The sequence below is a fragment of the Homo sapiens genome, chromosome 10 (genome assembly GCF_000001405.40).
Source record: "Homo sapiens chromosome 10, GRCh38.p14 Primary Assembly".
Taxonomy (NCBI): Eukaryota; Metazoa; Chordata; class Mammalia; order Primates; family Hominidae; genus Homo; species Homo sapiens.
The window spans coordinates 103947058-103968097 of record NC_000010.11 but is presented as its reverse complement, the minus strand read 5'-3'; the positions used below and the strand labels follow the sequence as shown (position 1 = coordinate 103968097).

The 21040-nt window shown below is 40.9% G+C and overlaps 1 protein-coding gene and 1 long non-coding RNA gene across 12 annotated transcripts in view, besides 3 other annotated features; one reads left to right on the top strand and one right to left on the bottom strand.

Annotated features, from left to right (window-relative positions):
- The window catches only part of SLK (STE20 like kinase), a 62094-nt gene extending 61136 nt beyond the window's left edge, over positions 1-958 (bottom strand). For all 4 annotated transcript variants that reach the window (NM_014720.4, NM_001304743.2, XM_011540401.4 and 1 more), the window contains exon 1: positions 203-958. In NM_014720.4, coding sequence (NP_055535.2) covers positions 203-352 — 150 coding nt within the window. In that variant the 5' untranslated portion in view covers positions 353-958. The remainder of the gene's footprint in view (positions 1-202) is intronic.
- Positions 437-536: a silencer, noted in NCBI's record as "silent region_2794". NCBI's record gives its function as "represses an Ori minimal core promoter by ATAC-STARR-seq in GM12878 lymphoblastoid cells {active_cell/tissue: GM12878}" and the evidence as "EXISTENCE:reporter gene assay evidence [ECO:0000049][PMID:35858748]".
- Positions 547-596: a silencer, noted in NCBI's record as "silent region_2793". NCBI's record gives its function as "represses an Ori minimal core promoter by ATAC-STARR-seq in GM12878 lymphoblastoid cells {active_cell/tissue: GM12878}" and the evidence as "EXISTENCE:reporter gene assay evidence [ECO:0000049][PMID:35858748]".
- Positions 637-1096: a silencer, noted in NCBI's record as "silent region_2792". NCBI's record gives its function as "represses an Ori minimal core promoter by ATAC-STARR-seq in GM12878 lymphoblastoid cells {active_cell/tissue: GM12878}" and the evidence as "EXISTENCE:reporter gene assay evidence [ECO:0000049][PMID:35858748]".
- The window catches only part of LOC102724351 (uncharacterized), a 29933-nt gene continuing 9945 nt past the window's right edge, over positions 1053-21040 (top strand). For 2 of the 8 annotated variants that reach the window (XR_007062283.1, XR_007062278.1), the window contains exons 1-2: positions 1053-2317; positions 8258-8335. This is a non-coding gene — a long non-coding RNA (uncharacterized LOC102724351). Of the gene's footprint in view, positions 2503-8257; positions 8336-9551; positions 9640-9898; positions 10587-21040 lie in introns of those variants that run through there. The other 6 variants (XR_007062281.1, XR_428808.4, XR_007062282.1 and 3 more) reach the window with 6 other exon arrangements.

Below are 21040 nucleotides of genomic sequence, written 5' to 3'. Positions count from 1 at the left end.
ACTCCATCCAGGCCCCATTTTGTTCCACCGTAAACCCGACTTCTTAGCTACTCCTTGGATGATCAGCCAAGTAAAGTTGCATCGAACCGTAACAGTCAAAAGAAGGACAGGATAAGGACCAGGGGAGCAGAAGTCCTCCCGCCACTCCAGGCCAGTGGCTGTTTTACCTTCGCAGTACAACTTCCCGTTTTCCCCCTCTTACCTTGTACACTTTCCCAAAGGCTCCGTCGCCCAGTTCTCCTATAATCTCCCAAAAGTCTTCGGGGTTCAGGTCCCTCTTCACGTGTTCGTACTGCTTCTTCTTCTTCTCGCTCCCCAACTTGAAGATCTTACGGAAATTGAAGAAGGACATTTTTCCTCCCAACACAGAGTTCCTTGCACTTAAGGACTAAAAACAATAAAAGGCAAAGTTTCTCTTCCCTGCTCTCCCGCGCGAGCCCGGCTGGCGGCGGCGGGCGCGGCGTCCCTCGGCCCCCGCAGCTCCGGCCGGGCGGTCCCGGGAGAAGGCGGGGCGGCGACCCGGGCTCCGGCCCGCGGTGGGGGTGCTGCGCGAGCGGCCCCTCCGCCGAGCCCGGCCCGCGAGCCGCGCGGTGGGCGCCTCGCCTCCGGCCCACCCTCCGGGAGCGGCACCTGCCCGCAAGCTCGCTCCCACCCGGCCTGATCCGACGGGTCCGAGCGGTCAGGACTCCCGCGGCGGCGGCTTAGGCCCGTGTCACGGCGAGTCTCCAGGGGCGGCGGCCACTCTGGGAGAGAGAAGCGGCCGGCGGCCTCGGAGGCGGGCAGTCGAGAAGCCGAGCCCTCCCGCCTCGGGCCGCGAGCCTAGGGTCTCCTCCGCCGCCGTCCGCTCCCGCGGCGCAAGGCCCGCGCGTCCCCTCGGGTCTGGGGCGCCGCCGCCGCCGCCTGTCTCCCTCCCCAGCCCACACAGCCTCGGCCTGGAGCGCGCGCCGACGCCGACTCCGTAGCGCGCCCGCGCGCTTTCCCGGCTGCGCGCCCGCCCGGTCACGCGCCCTGCTCACCGCGCGCTCGCGTGGGGGCGTCCCCTCTGGCCCCGCGCACGCGCGCTACGTCCCTCAGACTGGCTGCCCCCGAGGGTTCGCGTGAGCGGAGCACGGGGCTCGGGGTGCGGGGGGCTGGTGTGATGGACGCATTTGTTCTTCGGTCCCTGACGATTGTTTCTCATTTGCCCTCCAAGCCCCAAATCCTGTCAGTCCACGGCCTTGATGGAGCGGCCCCCGTGGGACGACCCTGTTGATTGTGCTAGCGGATGTTGTCTCCATTCTGGATCTGGGAAAAACTGTGGAGTGAAAGCCGGACCTGTTAGGGTTGGGACCTGAAAGCGGACTTTTTCGCTCTCAGACGGGCCCCAGGTACAGTGAGAGGGGAGTTTGTGTGGTGGTTGTGAGCTTGAGCTTTGGAGAGAGAGATCTGTGACCTTGGGCAGGTGACCTCTCCGAGCCTCGGTTTCCTCGCCGTAAAATGAAGATCCTAATAGTCCCTACCAGAAGGTTGTGAATGAGACAATAGATGGAAGCCCTTTGCGCGGCCCCTGCACCCGTAAACGCTCAATCTTAGTTCTTACTCTTGTTGTTTTAAGTGTGCAGGCAAGATAGACACAGATACATAAAAACTGTTTAAGACCACTTCTCTTTTTTTTCTTTCTTTCTTTTTTTTTTTTTTTTTTTTTTTTTGAGACGGAGTCTCGATCTGTCGCCCAGGCTGGAGTGCAGTGGCGCGAACTAGGCTCACCGCAAGCTCCGCCTCCCGGCTTCACGCTATTCTCCTGCCTCAGCCTCCCGAGTAGCTGGGACTACAGGCGCCCGCCACCACGCCCCGCTAATTTTTTTGTATTTTTAGTAGAGACGGGGTTTCACCGTGTTAGCCAGGATGGTCTCGATCTCCTGACCTCGTGATCCGCCCGCCTCGGCCTCCCAAAGTACTGGCGTGAGCCACCGCGCCGGGCCCCCACTTCTCAACTGATGACTGCGACACTCCCTTGAGGGTAAAACTAACTTCTGGCCACCTCCACAACTGTAAACCTGGTGTCACTCTTGGTGACTCCACCTCAGCTAAGGCCCCCACTTCCTGATCTGCCTCCAGCCCCCTTGGGCAGCACTCCCTGGTGGGGCAGTGTGGACGTTGGCTGGAATCCGTCAGGTGGTGACCTACCTTCCCCTCCTCCACCAGACGGGAGCTCTTTCAGGCCAGTGGTTTGTTGTTCATCAAGATATCCAAGTACCCGGCAACATTCCTGGCATATAATAGGAAGGCAGATCTGGTGAATGAATGAATGAATGGCGGTATCTGGAGCAGAGACAATGTATGTATATATTGCTATTTATATAATGTCTGCCCCCCCAGTCATTTTGCCCTTCAGCCCCAAAATGGCATAGCAAAACCCCCCTTCCAGTAAGACGCTTAAGATGATTCAATTCCTTGAGATCCTTCTATTTTTTTAAGTGTTATTGCAATATATTGATATACAATAAACTGTACATATTTAAAGTGTGCATTTGGTTTTTTTGCTAGTACTTGTTTGCTTTTTTTTAAAATTATACTTTAAGTTCTGGGATACACATGCAGAACGTGCAGGTTTGTTACATAGGTATACACGTGCCATGGTGGTTTGCTGCAAGTGTGCACTTTTATATGTTTTGACAAATGTATAGACCTGTGAAAACAATACTATAATTATTTGTAATTATTATCATTTATGGAGAAAATGAAATGCTTAAAAAATAAAATTAAATTAAAAGTACTATAATTCTACTATCCAGACACAACCATTGATAAGAACTTATATTTCAAAACAGGATTTTTTTGGTTGTGCATTAACTTTTTTCAACATGGTTGAGGTTGTATTACATAAAAAGGTTTGCATCCTGCACTTCGCATATTTCAATACAATTAATAATTGTTCTCTTCCATTATGAGATATTTAGATTATAATTCCTCTGTTTTTAATAAAATACGGATAAATATCTTTGTACACAAATCTTTTTCCACATATTTGATTATTTCCTTAGGATAAATTGCCAAAAGTAGATTTCGGTCAATGGGTATATGTCTGTTTCCTTATTTTGTTCTTTTCAAAATAGAAAAGACTTTACTATTTTGTCAATTAAAAGATAGTGTATTACTGGCTGGGTGGGGTGGCTCACACCTATAATCCCAGGCTGAGGTGGGAGGATTTCTTGAGCCCAGGAATTTGAGACCAGACTGGGCAACATGGCGAGATCACATCTACCAAAAATTAAAAACAGAAAAATTAGCTGGGCATGGTGGCACTCACCTGTGGTCTCAGCTACTGGGGAGGCTGAGGCAGGAGGATCACTTGGGCCCAAGAGGATGAGGCTGCAGTGAGCCATGTTTGTGCCACTGCACGTCAGCCTGGGCAACAGAGCTAGAACTTGTCTCGAAGAAAAAATAAAAATGAAAGATAGTATATTTTTGTTGTAAATAATTCAAATAATACAGAAATTATAAACTAGGAAGCTGTCTATAGTTCTGTCCTCCTTCCTTCCCCCCTACTCATAGTTACCCTCGACCTAACCACTGTTAAAAGTTAAGCCTGTGATGATGGATATGTTTATGTAATAGGCAGTGGTGATGTACAGTTATCACCCAGCTCATCTAGTTATATACATTAAGTATGAGCAGCTTATTGTATGTCAATCATAATTCAATAAGTGGTTTTTAAAAAGTCACTAGCAAAGCAAAGATAAAGTTCTGACACCATTAAGAAATAGAAATAGGCTGGGCACGGGGGCTCACACCTGTAATCCCAGCAATTTGAGAGGCTGAGGTGGGTGGATCACCTCAGGTCAGGAGTTTGAGATGAGCATGGCCAACATGGCAATACCCCGTCTCTAACAAAAATACAAAAATTAGCCGGGTGTGGTGTCATGCATCTGTAATCCCAGCTACTCGGGAGGCTGAGGCAGGAGAATCGCTTGAACCTGGGAGGCGGAGGTTGCAGTGACCTGAGATCGTGCCACTGCACTTCACCTGGGCGACAGAGCTAGACCCTGTCTCAAAAAAAAAAAAAAAGAAATAGAAATATTATCATAAATTTTTTCATATATTATGAAAAAAAGAAATGGAAATGAGCCTCTTGTAAAAGCTTTTCCTTTTAATAACATAATACATGGCCAAATAAAAAAAGTTAAGCCCATGAGCATGAGAGAATTTTGGGGGACAATAAAAAAGGGTTTTATAACTAGATTATGGTGATGATTTTACACTTAGAATGGGTGAATTATATGCTTTGTAAATTATACCTCAATAAAGCTACTTTGAAAAAGTTAGGCCTATATATGTTTTTTTCTGTGTGTATGTATGTGTATGTGTGTATATATATATATATATAAATATATATATATATATATTTTTTAAGATGAAGTTTCCGTCTGTCGCCAAGGCTGGAGTGCAGTGGTGTGATCTCGGCTCACTGCAACCTCCACCACCTGGGTTCAAGCAATTCTCCTCCTCAGCCTCTTGAGTAGCTGGGATCACAGGCGCACACCACCAAGCCCGGCTAATTTTTTGTATTTTTAGTAGAGACAGGGTTTTGCCATGTTGGCCAGGCTGGCCCTAAACTCCTGACCTCAAGTATTCTGCCCACCTCGGCCTCCCGAAGTGCTGGGATTACAGGTGTTAGCCACTGCACCTGGCCGCATGTATATCTGTTAAGATATAAAACTGGCATCATCCAATACAGATCGTTGACATCTTTCCAAGCCATCCCAAATAGATCTGTCTAATCCTTTTTTAATAGCTGCACAGAGTTCTAGTGTCTAACTATACCATAATTTATTTAAGCATTTCTGTATTGACAGGCATGACAGGCATCTAGGTAGTTTCCAATTTTTTTGTCATCATAAACAATTCCACAGTTAGTGTGCATATACAAGCATCTTTGTGTATTTGTCTGATTATATTCCCTGAAGACACAATTCAAGAAGTGGAATTGATGAGTCAAAGATCATATTAAAAATGTTTTTGCTCTGTATTGCCTAACTGGCCTCTAAAAAGATTGGTGGCCAAACATGGTGGCTCATGCCTCTAATCTCAGCGCTTTGGGAGACTGAGCCAGCAGGTTTGCTTGAGCCCAGGAGTTCCAGACCAGCCTGGGCAATATAGTGAGACCCTCATTTCTACAAAAAATAAAAAAATTAGCCAAACATGGTGGCTCATACCTGTAGTCCCAGCTACATGAGAGACTGAGACGGGAGGGAGGATCACTTGAGCCCAGGAGGTCAAGGCTGCAGTGAGACACGATCGTGCCACTGCACATGAGCCTGGGTGACCGAGCAAGGCCCTGTCTCAAAAAGAAAAAAAGAAAAAGAAAAATGTTGACATATGAGAGTGTCAAATTTCACCACACCCTCAATAGCAACAAGGTATTATCCATCTTTTTTTTTTTTTTTTTTTTTTTGAGGCAGAGTCTTGCTCTGTCACCCAGGCTGGAGTGCAGTGGTATGATCTCGGCTCACTGCAACCTCCACCTCCTGGGTTCAAGCAATTCTCCTGCCTCAGCCTCCCAAGCAGCTTGGATTACAGGCGCCTGCCACCACAACTGGCTAATTTTTTGTATTTTCAGTAGAGACAGGGTTTCACTATGTTGGCCAGGCTGGTCTCGAACTCCTGACCTCAAGTGATCTGCCCACCTCGGCCTCCCAAAGAGCTGGGATTACAGGCATGAGCCACCGCACCTGGCCTATCCATTAATCTTTACCAAGCTAATAGCCCCAAAATAACTTATCTTAATTTAGAATTATCTGATTATTAATGATGTAATACTTTTCCATTTGTATATTGGCCACTTTTATTTCTTATTTTATGAATTGCCTAATCATATCAACGAATAATATCAAATAATGTTTGTCAGTATTCTATAAATGACATGAGCAAGTCTAACATACTTTGATGAAATGATCACAGAGTTAATAATAGCTTATATATTTTCACCATGAAGTTATAGCCACAGAAATTACTTAGTAACACTGGGTGTGATGTCATTTAGTCAGATCAGATATTCCCAGTGAAGGCCATGACATGTAGATGTTTGTGTTATTTATAAATGATAATTTGGCTTTCCTGAATTTTTAGAACTTTAAAAGTAAAGATGAAGCAGCGATCATGTATTCATTTTTTAAAAAATTTTTTTGGATTATACTTTGGTATGCAAATAAATTCATTTAATACATAATTTTTGGCTCTACCCACCTTAAAAATAGTTTAATATTTTCTCACTAAGCAGCTTGGTGAGAGGAATACTATCTTCACAATTTACCTGGTAAATAATCTTCTCTGGTAATAATAAGGATATCATCACAAACTGGAAATTTAGGCTGGGCACGGTGGCTCATACCTGTAATCCAAGCACTTTGGGTGGCCTAGGCAGGAGGATCGTTTGAGGCCGGGAGTTTAAGACCAGCCTGGGCAATATGGCAAGACCTCGTCTCTACAAAAATAAAATTAGCTGGGTGTGATGTTATGCACCAGCTACTCGGGAGCTTGAGGCCAGGAGTTTGAGGCTGCAGCGGGCTATGATAGCACCACTGCACTCCAGCTTGGACAACACAGAGACCCTATCTCTAAATAAATAAATAAATAAATGGAAATTTAGTACATTGTGCTTAGTGGTTTACATGCATCATCTCATTTAAACCTCATGGCAACCTCATGAAATAGGTACTATGATAATCCCTATGTAAAAGAGAGGAAACTAAGGCAGTGAGTTATGTAACTTGGTTATGGCCTCACGGGTAGTAATGGCAGATTTTCACTTGAATCCAGATCTCGGAAAACCTAACTCTCCAGTATTTAACAACTCCACTAAGACGGTCTACTTAGCCTCCTTGAGATTTTGCCATAGTCGTCTCACAGGATCGTTGCCAATGCTATGTCTTTCTCCTTCCTCTAAATTGAAAACATTCTACTCACTGTCTCCACTTTGTCAGCTCAGCTCCCACGTATGTATGTATGTATGCATGTGAGTGTGTATATGTGGATATATATGTATATATGTGTTCATATGTTAATACATATGTGTGTATATGTGTGAGTGTATAGTACTGAGGGTGTATGCATGTGTGAGCATGCATGTACATATTGTGTGAACGTGTGTATGTGTACGAATATGTGTGTATGGGTATGTGTGAATGTGTTTGTATGTGAGCGTGTATATATCTGCATATGTATGGGAGGCTGTGTATGTTTCTCCTAGACGGAAAGCATTTAGAGGGCAGGGACAGTCATGCTCATCCTTGTACCTCCTACATCTAGCCCAGTGTCTTCCTATTCCATACATTATTGTTGAATGAATAAATGAAAATGATAAAACTTTACACCTAGTGAAAGAAATTACATGTCAATTCCTTTCCCCTTCCTTATTTAGACAATAAATTTACTAGTTAGTTCTTTAAATGCTATTGTGTAGATTAGATGGAAGTAGCAAATTCCTTTGATATACAAGTATTCTGTGACGTAAATACAGTTTTCTGTCCCTGTGGAGTTATATTTTTAGAAAGGAATTTTTTAGATATTTTAAGAAGGTAACTAACCTGTGATTATGACAATTATTCTCCTGAAATAGAATTGTGTGTCATTCAGAAAATTCCAAATCAGGTTTTGGGTCTCTCTTTTTTCTATTTTGAAAACAAGAAAAAGTAAACAAGTCACCTGATTTAAGCTCTTTTTTATTTCATAAAAGGAATCGAAAAATATCCTCCCTTCTAATTCATTTCTCTTTCTGCGTCATACAGAACTGTTACACACACATACTCCCACCTTCTCCTCATCCCTAGTAACTTCTGCTAAAATGAATCATAAACATTTGGCAGTGCGATGAGAAGGCTTAATGCATCCAAATCTTGGGAAATTAGAAAATAAAAACTAGATAGACATCCTTCTTTTACAAGTGGTACTCCAATTCCAGTTTAAAAATCTAGACTCCCTAACATCTTTTGAACTTTAAGTATTTGAATGGTCAATATTAAATGTGTTTCACTCAGACACTGACTAAATGAGAGTAACCCAACCACAGCATCATCTGGCAACCGACACTTTGGGCTTGATAAAAGCCTCTGTGCTACCCCATTGCCCCCTACTTTTATGTATTACATTTGTTCTTTGTTTCATGAGACATATTTTGGATATGATCATTTTGATCATTAGCTCCAAATTATTTGTCCTCTTGTTAACCCTGTGACATTGGGCAAGTCACTAACTTCTCTGCACTTTGTGTCTTACACAGGAATTTCATGTTTAACAGAGGTGTCTTCAAGGAGATGAAACAATTCAGAATGACCTAGGCAATGGGGTAATTCCTAAGGTAAGTTACTATAAATGTGTAGTAGTTTGCTTCATCAAAATGACCATGTGATCTCTAAGAACCTTTGCAGTTGTAAAATTCGATTTTTATTGTGCCCCTAATTTTAGTGGCATTATATGGTGATTGTGTTCATTTTTCTGACATAATGGTGAATGAAGAGCAAATAAGTGCAGTTAGGAATTTCAAAAAGAAGGACATACAGTATCCATCAAAATTCATGGAGAACACTATTTCCACTGAACACTGTTCTTGGGGTAAGCCTTAAGAAATTTACCTGGTAAGATAGGAAATGCTTGCCACAGGCAATGGGGGAGACAGTGGAGATTTTTTTTCAGAGTAATATCAGAGGCTATTTTGCAAAAGAAATTTTCAGTTTCCCCTGTAAAGAAATAACTACTCAAGTCCCTACTACTGTCTTATACATTTCCTCCTTCCCCCTTCTAATCTTTCAGGACCTAGTACCTCTCCTAGGTTTTTAATGAAAACTTTTTGTTACTATGCATTCCTTTTTCACAAAGCTGTCATGACCATTACAAACCACAATTTGAGGCTTATTACATTATTAACACTGTCATGAGACACTGCCTATTTGTCTGGTAAATCCTAATCTTTTCTATTTCCATGACTCATATTTCATGTTGCTACAGGAGGAAATTAACCAATATAGATTCCTGTTAGAGGCAAATATATTCTTGTATTTTATATCAATGTTGTCATAAAATGATCATTTCTAACAAAAATGAACCAAATGATTTGCGATTGCGGGTTTGGTAGAATAAAAAAAGTATATATTTTAGAGCTGACTCTTTAAATAACTATTTAGAATTGGTATCTTTCATTCTCTCATTTGTTCAACAGATAGTCATCAGTTTTCTCGTATATGTCAGGCAGTATTCTAGGGACTGAGGAATCAGTCAAAATCAAAACAGACGAAAAAATCTCTTGGAACTTTAAATGACTAAGTGGGATTTAGACAAATAGATTTATTTTATTTTATTATTATTATTATACTTTAAGTTTTAGGGTACATGTGCAAAATGTGCAGGTTCTAATCCAGTGATATTTGGCAATTTCTGGAAACATTTTTTTTTTGTCACAACTAGGGGAGGGGATGCTGCTGGTATCTGGTGGGTAAAGATGAGGGATGCTGCTAAACATTCTGCAATGTGCAGGACAGCACAAAGAATTATCCAGCTGAGGCTGTGCTAATCTTTAGTATTGTAGGTCAAGATATTGGTTACCTATGAGGGGGTGATGCCTGGAGGAAGACCTAAGGGGAGGTCTTCTGGATACTGAGTGCATGGGTGAGTTTATTGTGTCAAAAGCTTCTGCACTTGTGATCTGTGCATTTTCCTGTGCGTATGATTTTAACATACAACCCCTACATTCTGTGAAACTCCTCCCACTAAGAGTTAGGGATCAATGTCCCTTCCTCTTGCATCTTGGATCCGTGGCTGCTTAACCAATATAATACAACAGAAGTAATATTGTGCCCGTTTCCAGACTCAGGCCTTAAAACATTAGCTGTTTCAACTTTCCATCACTTGCAACACTCACTCTTAGACCCCACCACCGTGCCCTGAGGAAGCCCAAACAACCCATGGAGACATCCGCATGGAGAGACCTGTGCCCTCAGTCCTGGTTGAACTCCCAGCTGACAGTCAATGTCAACTTGCCAGCCATATGAGTGAACCATACTGAAGTTCATCATCCATCCCTGAGTAAAGCTACGTGAGCTGACACCATGTGGAGAAGAAACAAGCATTCTTACTGAGCCCCGCCCAAATTGCCGATTCATGAACTAAAAAAAAAGATTGCTGTTCATTTAAGCCACTAAATTTTAGGAATGTTTAGTAAGCAGCAATCTATAACTAGAACAATGGTCAATAAATGAAAATTTTACTTTAAGAAGGCATACTATAGCCACATAACTTTGGGAAACTCTCTTGGTTAAAGTTTTAAAAATTTCCCTTACTGCAGAGCTTTTAATGGGCTAATGTGTTTCATGTTCCCTCACAAGAGTATCCAGTGTTTCTCAAACATTTTTAACCACAGAATCTGTATTGTAAAGTGCCATCTTGCGAGATTGGGGTTAACGGCCAGACTTTAAGAAAACCAAATGAACTTTTCAGTAATTCAATAATTGAAATTCTAATTCTTAAAATTGCAAAGAGTTTACATTAGGATAGTTTTAATTTGAAAAGTCATATGTTATAGAGTTAATTCTGGTAATAAAGTAAAATACCCTAAATTTGCCTCAATGTCTTTTTAAACTATTTGCAAAGCTTTGATGACAGTTAAAAAACCTAGATGACCCTTCTGTAGTTATTCCAAAGTCCCTGAGGTCATAATCAATGGTTACATAAGTTTTTTAAAAAAAACCTAAATTCTGTTTTTCCTTGGAAAGTAATAGTAGCAATGTATATGCTGATTTAGAGGTTGAATGCTTTCCACATTTCCTTAAGTTCTTTCCTGATCTTACACAACATACTTCTAATATACTGATACAAAGTTGTATGTTTATTTGTCCAGACCTTAAAAACAACATTGGACTTAAGTGAATAAATTAAGAAGATATATCCTGTTTCATGTCTGGTGGAAGCCAAATTTATTCCTTTTTGCTATCATTCAAAATCAAAATCAAATGGAGGTTTTTTCTTTTCTTCTTTTTTTTTTTATTTTTTTTATTTTTTTGAGATGGAGTCTTGCTCTGTCGCCCAGGCTGTAGTGCAGTGGTGCGATCTTGGCTCACTGCAACCTCCACCCACTGGGTTCAAGCAATTCCAAATGGAGGTTTTTCTTTAGTTTTCCCACCAAAGGCCAATTCTCAGTCTCTGCAACACACATTCACCTCCACCATGTCTCAGCTCAAACATATCCTTTCAGCAGGAGGGAACTTTGGAAAAGAAATACAGAGACAAAGCATAGTTTCATGAGGGCTAAGATGCTGACAGTTTCCCAGCTGCCCCTTGTCATTGTTCTTTAGCCTTTCAGTTACTCCAACAAAATGTGACCCCTGGAGATAGAGTTCTCCATTTCATCTTCTGTATTCCACTCTTATCTTGCATCAACAGTGCCTTGATTTCTATCCTGTGATGCCACCACCAAGTCTTATCCACTCTGATCTCTACCTGATTGCTGGAAAAGTTATTTTCTGTTGAAACCTCTGGGTTTAAACTGTGCTGACTCTCATCACCTCACTCTCAAATCAACTGAGTTAGGAATTCTGGTTTCTAGATTTCTCTTTGGCTTATGGAAAGACCACTTGTTTGGCTTTTGTGCAACTACATAAATACACATAGCCAAGGGGATAAGGGAAGACTGAAATCTAGCCCACACTTCATTAACCAGGGTGAGTGCCGGTGAATCTGTGTTGGCCCACAGGAACACTATTTTCTAGTTTTACAAAGGTGACTTATAAAGTAGTCTAGTCCTGGCCTGTGACATAGACCTTGGCATAGCCATTTGAACATCCAAGATCGGCCGGGCACAGTGACTCGCGCCTGTAATCCCAGCACTTTGGGAGGCTGAGGCGGGGAGATCCCCTGAAGTCAGTAGTTTGAGACCAGTCTGGCCAACATGGTGAAACCCCATCTCTACTAAAAATACAAAAATTAGCCAGGTGTGGTGGCGGGCGCCTGTAATCCCAGCTGCTTGGGAGGCTGAGGCAGGAGAATCTCTTGAACCTGGGAAGCAGAGGTTGCAGTGAGCCAAGATCGCGCCACTGCACTCCAGCCTGGGTGACAGAGCGAGACTTCATCTCAAAAAAAAAAAAAAAAAAAAAAATCCAAGATCTTATCTGTTGCCTTAGGCTCTTCTCTGTCCTGTTCCATGGTATTTCAGATGTTCCCTTTAAATATGAGTAGTCTGACTGAGTGATCTTTTTTTTTTTTAAGATGGAGTTTTGCTTTTTTTTTTGAGCCAGAGTCTCGCTCTGTCTCCCAGGCTGGAGTGCAGTGGAGCGATCTTGGCTCACTGCAAGCTCCACCTCCCAGGTTCACCCCATTCTCTGCCTCAGCCTCCCGAGTAGCTGGGATTACAGGCATGCATCTCCACGCCCAGCTAATTTTGTATTTTTAGTAGAGACGAGGTTTCTCCATGTTGGTTAGGCTGGTCTTGAACTCCCGATCTCGGGTGATCTGCCCGCCTTGGTATCCCAAAGTGCTGGGATTACAGGTGTGAGCCACTGTACCTGGCCGACTGAGTGACTTTTAAAGATCCCCTTCTACCCTCAAGTTCCATGATTTTATATGCCGTTCTTCTTATCCCCCCTCTTCTTATGGATGTGGTGCCCTATCCCTCCACTTGAGAGGCTGTCATCCACCCACCTGCTGCATCAGAAGTTTCCATTCTTCCTCACCCATCTGAACATTATCACCTTTTACAATAGCCTCAGTTAGAGATGCCCAAACATCACATTGAATTTTAAAAGTAAACCTTATTGACATAGGTTATAACTTTTAAAATAGTGGAAGTCTGTGATCACTTTTTAATGATGTTTTTTTTAAAGAAAGCCTAAAATAATACTAACATGCTATATATATATATCTTACTCATATGTAATCTTTTCATTGAATTTTTAATGAAAACAAAGTTGGTGAATGACAGTCATTGTTGAACATATCTGTAATCTCTTGTTAAGGTGATATAAAATGATATTATGAGTTTGAGGGAGGAGGATACCATTTATTGTAAGAATGAATAACACAAAAGGCATAAACTATAAAAGAAAGAAATTAATGAATTGGAATTAATCAAAATTAAAAACTTTTCCTCTTTAAAAGTTCTATGAGCAAAGGCACAACTTCATGCAGCCCCCACATATTTTGGCCTCCCTCTATTCTGAGGCAGTTCTAGTCTATTGCTTCTTAAGAGGAAATACAGACCTTGATTTCAAAAATACATTTTCATAATAGTTTATAATCAACTAATTTTTGTAACCAGTTATTGTAACCAGATATTTTACTGGGAGAAATAAAAGGAGATCCAAATAAATGGAGAGGTATACCATCTTCATGGATTAGAAGACTTAATATTGTTAAGATGTTCATTCTCCCCTAACCGATGTCTAAATTCAATGCATTCACAATCAAAATCCCTTCAGGGTTTTGTCTGAAAATGGCAAGCTAATGCTGAATATGGAAAAGCAAACAATCTACCATATAACAAAAGAGAGAAAAAGAGAACAAAGATACAGGATTTACACTACAAGGTTTCAAGACTTATCATAAGCTATAGTAATCAGGAGAGGTTCTGGTCTAAAGATGGGCAAAAATGAAACATAAGAGAGAACCCAGCATTAGACATACATACATATATATACACATATACATGTATATGTATACATACACATATGTATATGCACACACGCACACATATAGTCAATTGATTCTTGGCAAAGGTGCCAAGGCAATTCAATGAGGAAAGGATAATATCTTCAACAAATAACGCTGAAACCATCAGCCACATGAAAAAATAAAAAGTAACCTCAACCCCCACATTATACCATATACCACAAGTAACTCTAAATGGAATATAGAGCTAAATGTAAGAGCTACAATTAAAAATTATAAAATTATAAAACATCTTTTAAAAATCTTAGTGATCTTGGCTTTGGAAAAGATTTCTTAAATATGACACAAGAAGCATAAACTATAAGAGAAAGAAATTAATGAATTGGGTTTAATCAAAATTTAAAACTTTTTCTCTTTAAAAAATGCTACTAAGAAAGGCAAGCCACAAACTCAGGGAAAATATTTCCAAAACATATACCCAACAAATAACTTGACTCTTAAAGAAGACTTACAGAGCAGTGGGCTTAACCTCATTTGCAAAGGGTCGAGAGAGGCAAGAAATCTGTGGTCAAATAGTATGGCAACACTGGGACCAGATCTAGAAATAGAACTCAGGTGTCCTAACTGCCTGGAGTGTTTTTTCCAAGCCAACTAACCCAATTTAAAAATTGGCAAGATATTTAGACACACATTTCAACAATAAAAAAGATATATGGAGGGCATACAAGCATATGAAAATATGTTCAACATCATTAATCATAAGGGAAATGTAAATGAAAACCACGATGAGATACCAGTCCCCAACCACCAGAATGGCCAAAATTAAAAAGACTCTCCCCATCAGGTGTTGGCAAGGATGCTGAGCAACTGGAAAAACTCATATATTGCTGGTGGGAATGTAAAATGTGCAACTAATTTGAAAATCAGTTTGATGGTTTCTCAAACTGTCAAACATATATTTACCATATGATCCAGCCATTTCACTCCTAAGTATTTACAGAAAAGAAGGTATAGGTCCAAATACTTGCCCATGCATGTTTATAGCAGCTTTGTGTATAATAGCCCAGGTTGGAAACAACTCAAATATCTATCAACAGGTGTATAGGTAAACAAATTGCAGCATATCCATACAAGGGTATACTACTTAGCCATAAGAAGGAATGAGCCATAGATATACCCAACAATGTGGATCAATCTCAAAATAATCATGCTGAGTTAAAGAAGTCAGGCTCCCCCAAAAAAAGAGTACATTCCATTTATACAGTAAACGGAAACAAATGAAAACGAAACTATAGTGACAGAAAGAAGATCAATAGTTGCCTGTAGAGAGAGGAGGGAAGAGAGATTACAAGTGAATATATATGTCAAAACTTTATTATAAAGCTGAATTATAACTTTATAATTGTGAATTATAAATTTGTATGTTCCTGTATAATCTCTCCCGCCTCCCTCCTCCGTCTTCAGGCAACTATTGATCTGCTTTCTGTCACTATAGTTTTGTTTCATTATAATCAATTTTATGACCTTGTATTTTGTTCAAAGGCAAATTCATAGGTTTACCTTAATGATATTAATAAACCCAAATTTACGTTACTGTTCTGCAGTTAACATAGCTTTACACTCAAAGACCCCAAGCAAAATGTTAAGAAATCACCTTTCATTGGTCACATTGTTCATTACAATTTCATTTTCATAGGAAAGAAAAATGGTAGCATGTAGGGATGATGTGAATGGACTTTGGCGCCCCCATCATTACCATTGACAACCACCTCCTTCATTCTTTGACATGGACAAGTATTAATATTATAGACGTAGTTTTTCTCAACATTATGTAAAGTGATATGTAAACACAGCTTAGAGGTAAGTCTGCCAGTTCCAAACGAATAGTTTAGACCCCCCTAAGCCTCTTCCATGTACGATTTTGAGCAAGCACTAGGGGAGGCCTTTCCCTTTCTGTGATTCTTTCCATAATAGGGAGCCACTGCGGTGGTTTTTATACCTGATTAGCACCAATAATCATACTGAGATTTGTAGAGCATCTTGCTTATAATTGATATTTACTGACTTTCACAAAATGTAGGCTTCTGTTGGAACCCTGAAAGTCCTTTCCTCTCACTGAATCTTTCTGCCTCACTCAGGAGACCATCCTAATTCTATTCTACAGCTTTGCCTTTCAAATGTTTGCTGGTTCACATAACAGCAAGGATTAGGGAATTATTAAGGGATAAAGACTGCTTTGAAGCCAAATATTACTGCCATCCCACACCAGAACCAATCCTGCTAAACTAACAAACTCAGAAGCACTTGTTCCCTTCCAGAGAGCTTTCCTTTGTTCCAGAGAGCTTTCCTTTGTCCTCCCCTCAAACCACACGATTTAGTTTCCCGAGGAAGCCTATGTTCCATTATGGTTTGATAGTATCCAGATTCTCCAGATAAGCTTATTTACAATGTGTTATACGCCTATAAACCAGGCCAACTGAGTTGTTTTCAAATTATTCACTCCTTCTTAGAGCGGGCAAAACAAACTAGTTCAAGTATTTGATATAAAAGCATTGTAAGGTGATGTGCTTCTCCAGCTTCAATAAAACATCATTTTATTAAGGAACAAGGGTTTCTGTGTAGTCAAAGTATTACTTATTCATGGGCTACACAGAAGGAAAAATTCAGTATCCCCTTAATTCCCAAGACCGTGTAGCAAATTAACCAGCAGATTTAAACCCCCTTTATTAGAGTTTTAAATAATGAGTGGAGGCACCATCTTAAAAAAGAAAAAGAACAGTGATGTTTCTGATATGGAAGACGTTTCATCTTTTTACAGTTTGCTGAGCATTGGGGGTAGGAACTCAAAGAGACCAGCAATCAAATGACATGTCAATATTTTAATATGGGAAGCCAGAGCCAAGGAGAAAGAGCCAAAATCCAGTGCCGTTCTCAGCTGCAGCAGCTGCCTTGGAAAGGTCTGAGAGGGGTTTTGACAAATTTAAATTGTCATTGAACCTTTGGAAAACAATTTTGTTAGAGAAGTGGTGCTACAATGTGCCCCCTTCAGGAGTCTTCAGAACTGTCCCAGCTGAGGCTCTCCTCTCCCTAGGCCACATCCTTTTCCTGAGACAGCCCTCATCCACTGACTGCTTGATGCCAGGGTCTGTCAAGGTCTAGCCCCCCTGTCTCAACTCAGGACGACCCTGAAGGGCTGTTCCAGCTTCAGATATCTCAGTGGGGTTAACTGAGGCCTTCACTGAGACTGTTTCATGATCCAACTTCTTCCTGCCCAATCCTGCTTCCTTCCCCTCTCTAAGTATCAAATCCAAGAGTATTTGCATTTCAGCACACTCTTGTCTCACACCTGTTTTCCCCCAAAACCCATTAATTTGTTCTCATCTTATTCTTAAAAAATAGTTGAACAAATAAGATATAAAGTTAAAGATTAGGATCCCAAGGCTGGGCATGGTGGCTCACACCCTTAATCCCAGCAATTTGGGAGGCCAAGGTGGGCAGATCACCTGAAGTCAGGAGTTTGAGACCAGCCTGGCTAATATGGCAAAACGCTGTCTCTACTAAAAATACAAAAATTAGCCAGGCATGGTGGTGCACACCTGTAGTTCCAGCTACTTGGGAGGCTGAGGCAGGAGAATCACTTGAATCCAGGAGGTGGAGGTTTCGGTGAGCCAAGATTGCACCACTGCACTCCAGCCTGGGTGACAAGAGTGAGACTCCATCTCAAAAAAAAAAAAAAGATTAAGATCCTGTACCTCTATTCCTCTAGTACCACATCCTGGAAGGAATCACTGTTAACTATTGTTTGTATATCCTTCCAGAAAATAAGTCTACAACCATATACACACATTTATGTCACTTTTCTGCAGAAGTAAGAGTATCACATGCAAACTGCTCTGCAACTTGATTGATTTCATTTAACATATTCTGCATGTCTTTTCATATCAGTGCATACACATACTTTCATAGTAGTTTCATATTATTCCACTACATAGATGTACCATAAATTTTTAACCAGACTTTCCTACATGAATATGTGGATAGTGTTTTGTTTTTCACTTTTACAAATAAGATTACAAGGAACATCCTCAAATATCCTCTTTGCCCTTTTGTATAGTATATATATAGGATAAATTCATAGACGTAGAATTCCTGATCAAATGTTGTGAGAACTTAAACTCTTTTTAAATTGTAAAATTGCTTTCCAAAAAAACAGCACCAATTTAAATTCCAAAAATTTCCATAGTCAATGTAAGAGAATGCCCCTTTCCTTGCACCCTCACTAGATGTGGACATAACAAAATTTTTAAACCTTTGTCCATAATAAGAGGTGAAAAGATTATATGTGGGGTGCTGATATAGTTTGGATATTTGTCCCTCCAAATCGCATGTGAAATGTGATCACCAATGTTGGAGTTGTTCGGGTCATGAGGGTGGATGCTCATGATTGGCCTCATGGTAATGAGTGAATTCCCATACTTAGCTCCCGAAAGAACTGCTTGTTGAGATGAGCCTGGCACCTCCTCCTCTCTCTCTTGCTTCTGCTCTCTTGCAATGTGACCCCTGCACACACCAGCTCCCTTTCCCCTGCCCCTTCCACTGTGAGTGGAAGAAGCCTGAGGCACTCATTAGAAGCAGATGCTGGCACCGTGCTTCTTGTACAGCCTGCAGAACCATAAGACAAATAAATCTCTTTTCTTTATAAATTACCCAGCTTCAGGCATTCTTTTATAGCAACATAAGCTGACTAAGACACATGCCTTTGCATTAATATTTTTCAAATCCCTTTGGGCAAAGGAATTTAAAAATCTCCCTCCTCTCTTTGCTTCCTATAACCTCCTAGGCGGACTGAGACCATGACAGAACATGGAGTCTGCCATTCAGAATTCCATTTTCACTCCACTTGCCCTTTGGCCAGCCACCTTACACAGTGCTCAAACCGAACAACTACACATGGCAGCACTGGAGCCTCACTGTTTTGAATGATATGTCTTTAATTATGAGTAAGTCTGAACATCCTTTAGTATTTTTTATTGGCCATTTGTGTTTTGTTTTGTTTTTTCTTTATGGAGAGCTATTCTGAGTAGCTGAAAATCCATTGAGGCAATATTTTCATGACTCTGTACACTATCCCAATAGAATGAGTGAATGGTAAATGAAAATATTTCGTACTTTATTTATTATGTTGAAACAAGTCATCTTTAAATTTAGTGATTTTAGGCCACTAGTTCATCAGCCTCAACTAAAATTGCATATCCAAATGTATAATGTAATTCCTATAGAGCTGTCCTCTTTTGATGGTAATAAAGATAATGGTAATGATAATAGATACCATTAATCAAGCATCTAATATATGGTAAGCAGATTAGGAGGCAGGAGAGCTTAGAAGCCTCATACCCTCACCAGCTGTGCCTAAAATACAGCACAGGCTCTGCAATCTGATCAGTTCTATTCTGATCCCTGCTCTACAAACTGTGTAGCTTGGAGAATTTACTTAGCCTCTCTGAAACTTAGCTTCTTCACCTCTAAAGTGGGAACGTTATTATCATCATTATTTTTATTATTAATAATACATTCCTGATGGGGTTGTGGTAAATATTAAATAGTATGTCACTTAACATGGTGCCTGCTACCTGGTAAGTGCTCAACAATTGTGAGTTATGTTGACAGGGCATCTTATGTACATTATGGAACTCTCCTGATTTAAACAAACAAACTTCAGCAATTCTCTGTTGCCAGCACAATACGATTATGTTTGACACTGTGTTCCTTTGAACTGTAGAGATGCCCTAGGGATTGCCGCAGGGAAAAGCACTGAGAGAGAGGTAAGGCCAGTAAGCCTTCTAGGCCCCTCCTCTTCGATCCAGACAGATCCACTTGTATCTGTCTTTTATGCTGCAGTTCCAAATAACAGTATTATTTGTTATTTTAAAAGTTTCCACTTTTTTTTTAAGTAGAAGTTTCTCTGAACTGCAGGAGAGAAATCCTGGTTTTCAAAGCCTTCCACAATTTGGCCTTAACCTACTTTTCCAGGCTTGTCTTCCTTGGTATTCAACCATGAATTTACCATCCCATTCTCTGCAATGGCTTATTTGCTGCCTGCACAATAGATTACTTATTCCTTAAAGATGGGCGCTGGGTCATTTATATTTCAGCATTTTCAGAGACTAGCAGAGTTTCTGACACCTACTAGGCATTCAGTAAATATTTGCTGAAGCAATAAATGAGTCAGTAAATGAACCTTCCATTTAAATTTGTCTCCTAGATACCTCTCTCAAATGTGTCTTGTGTCTTTCTCCTGCCCTTTGCTCATGAAGATTCCCTTGTCTGCATGGCCTCTCCCCATCTCACCCCCACCAAATTCTTAACTCAGTCTATAAGACTAAAATCAAATTGTGTGGTTACTATAATGTCAACTCTGGTCATCCTGGTTGGAAGGCTTCTCTTCCTCCCCGAAACTCATATGGTTTATGAGTTGCCTGTACATTCACCGAGTGCTTTAGCATGCATTACTTCCTATTGACATTATCTGCATGTCATATCTTCCTGTTGTGGAAAGCAGTAACCATGTCTTAAAGTCTTTTTATGCTTCATTGCTTAGCCCAGTCTCATACATAATGTGTGTTCAATATACATCTGAAAAATGGATCAACAAATAAATGAATGTTTGGTTCCTTGATATCCCAGCCAGGGTAGCCCCAGAAAATGAAAGTTATACAATAGGAAAGTGAGAGTGAGACATTGTTTCTCAAAAGTTTTAAACACTGGACTCCTTTTTGTTTGTTTGTTTTTTTCTTTTAGACAGAGTCTTGCTCTGTCGCTGTTGCCTAGGCTGGAGTGCAGTGGTGTGATCTCGGCTCACTGCAACCTCCGCCTCCCGGGTTCAAGCAATTCTCCTGCCTCAGCCTCCCAAGTAGCTGAGATTACAGGTGTCCACCACCATGCCCAGCTAATGGGCTCCTTGATATGAGGACACTTGCCCCTGGAGTAGTTGGTTAGAGGACCCTCAATTCCATACTTACCAGCCATATAGATTTACAATAGTGTACATTTAAGTTCAGGTTACAAAGCACAAGTGAAAGGAAGCATTTTTTTACTCTCTACAAATTGCACAATAAATTAATGTCTTTGGAGAGAAGTCCCTTCTTTCTGCAGCCCCTTTGAAGTAGACAGTGTTTGGGTAGCACGGACATCTATGAAGAGCAGTGTTTTAGATATCTGCTCTTGCATAACAAGCCACCCCAAAACATGGTCATTTAAAATATCAATGTTATATTGTGTCTCACACTCCTGGGCTCCTCTTTTTCAATCTCGCCTGGGGTCACTTATGCAGTTCTGGTCATCAACCTCCTGCCTAGAACTGGAGGGTCCAAAATGGTCTCAGTTACAGGTCTGGCTGTTGGTGCTTGCTGTT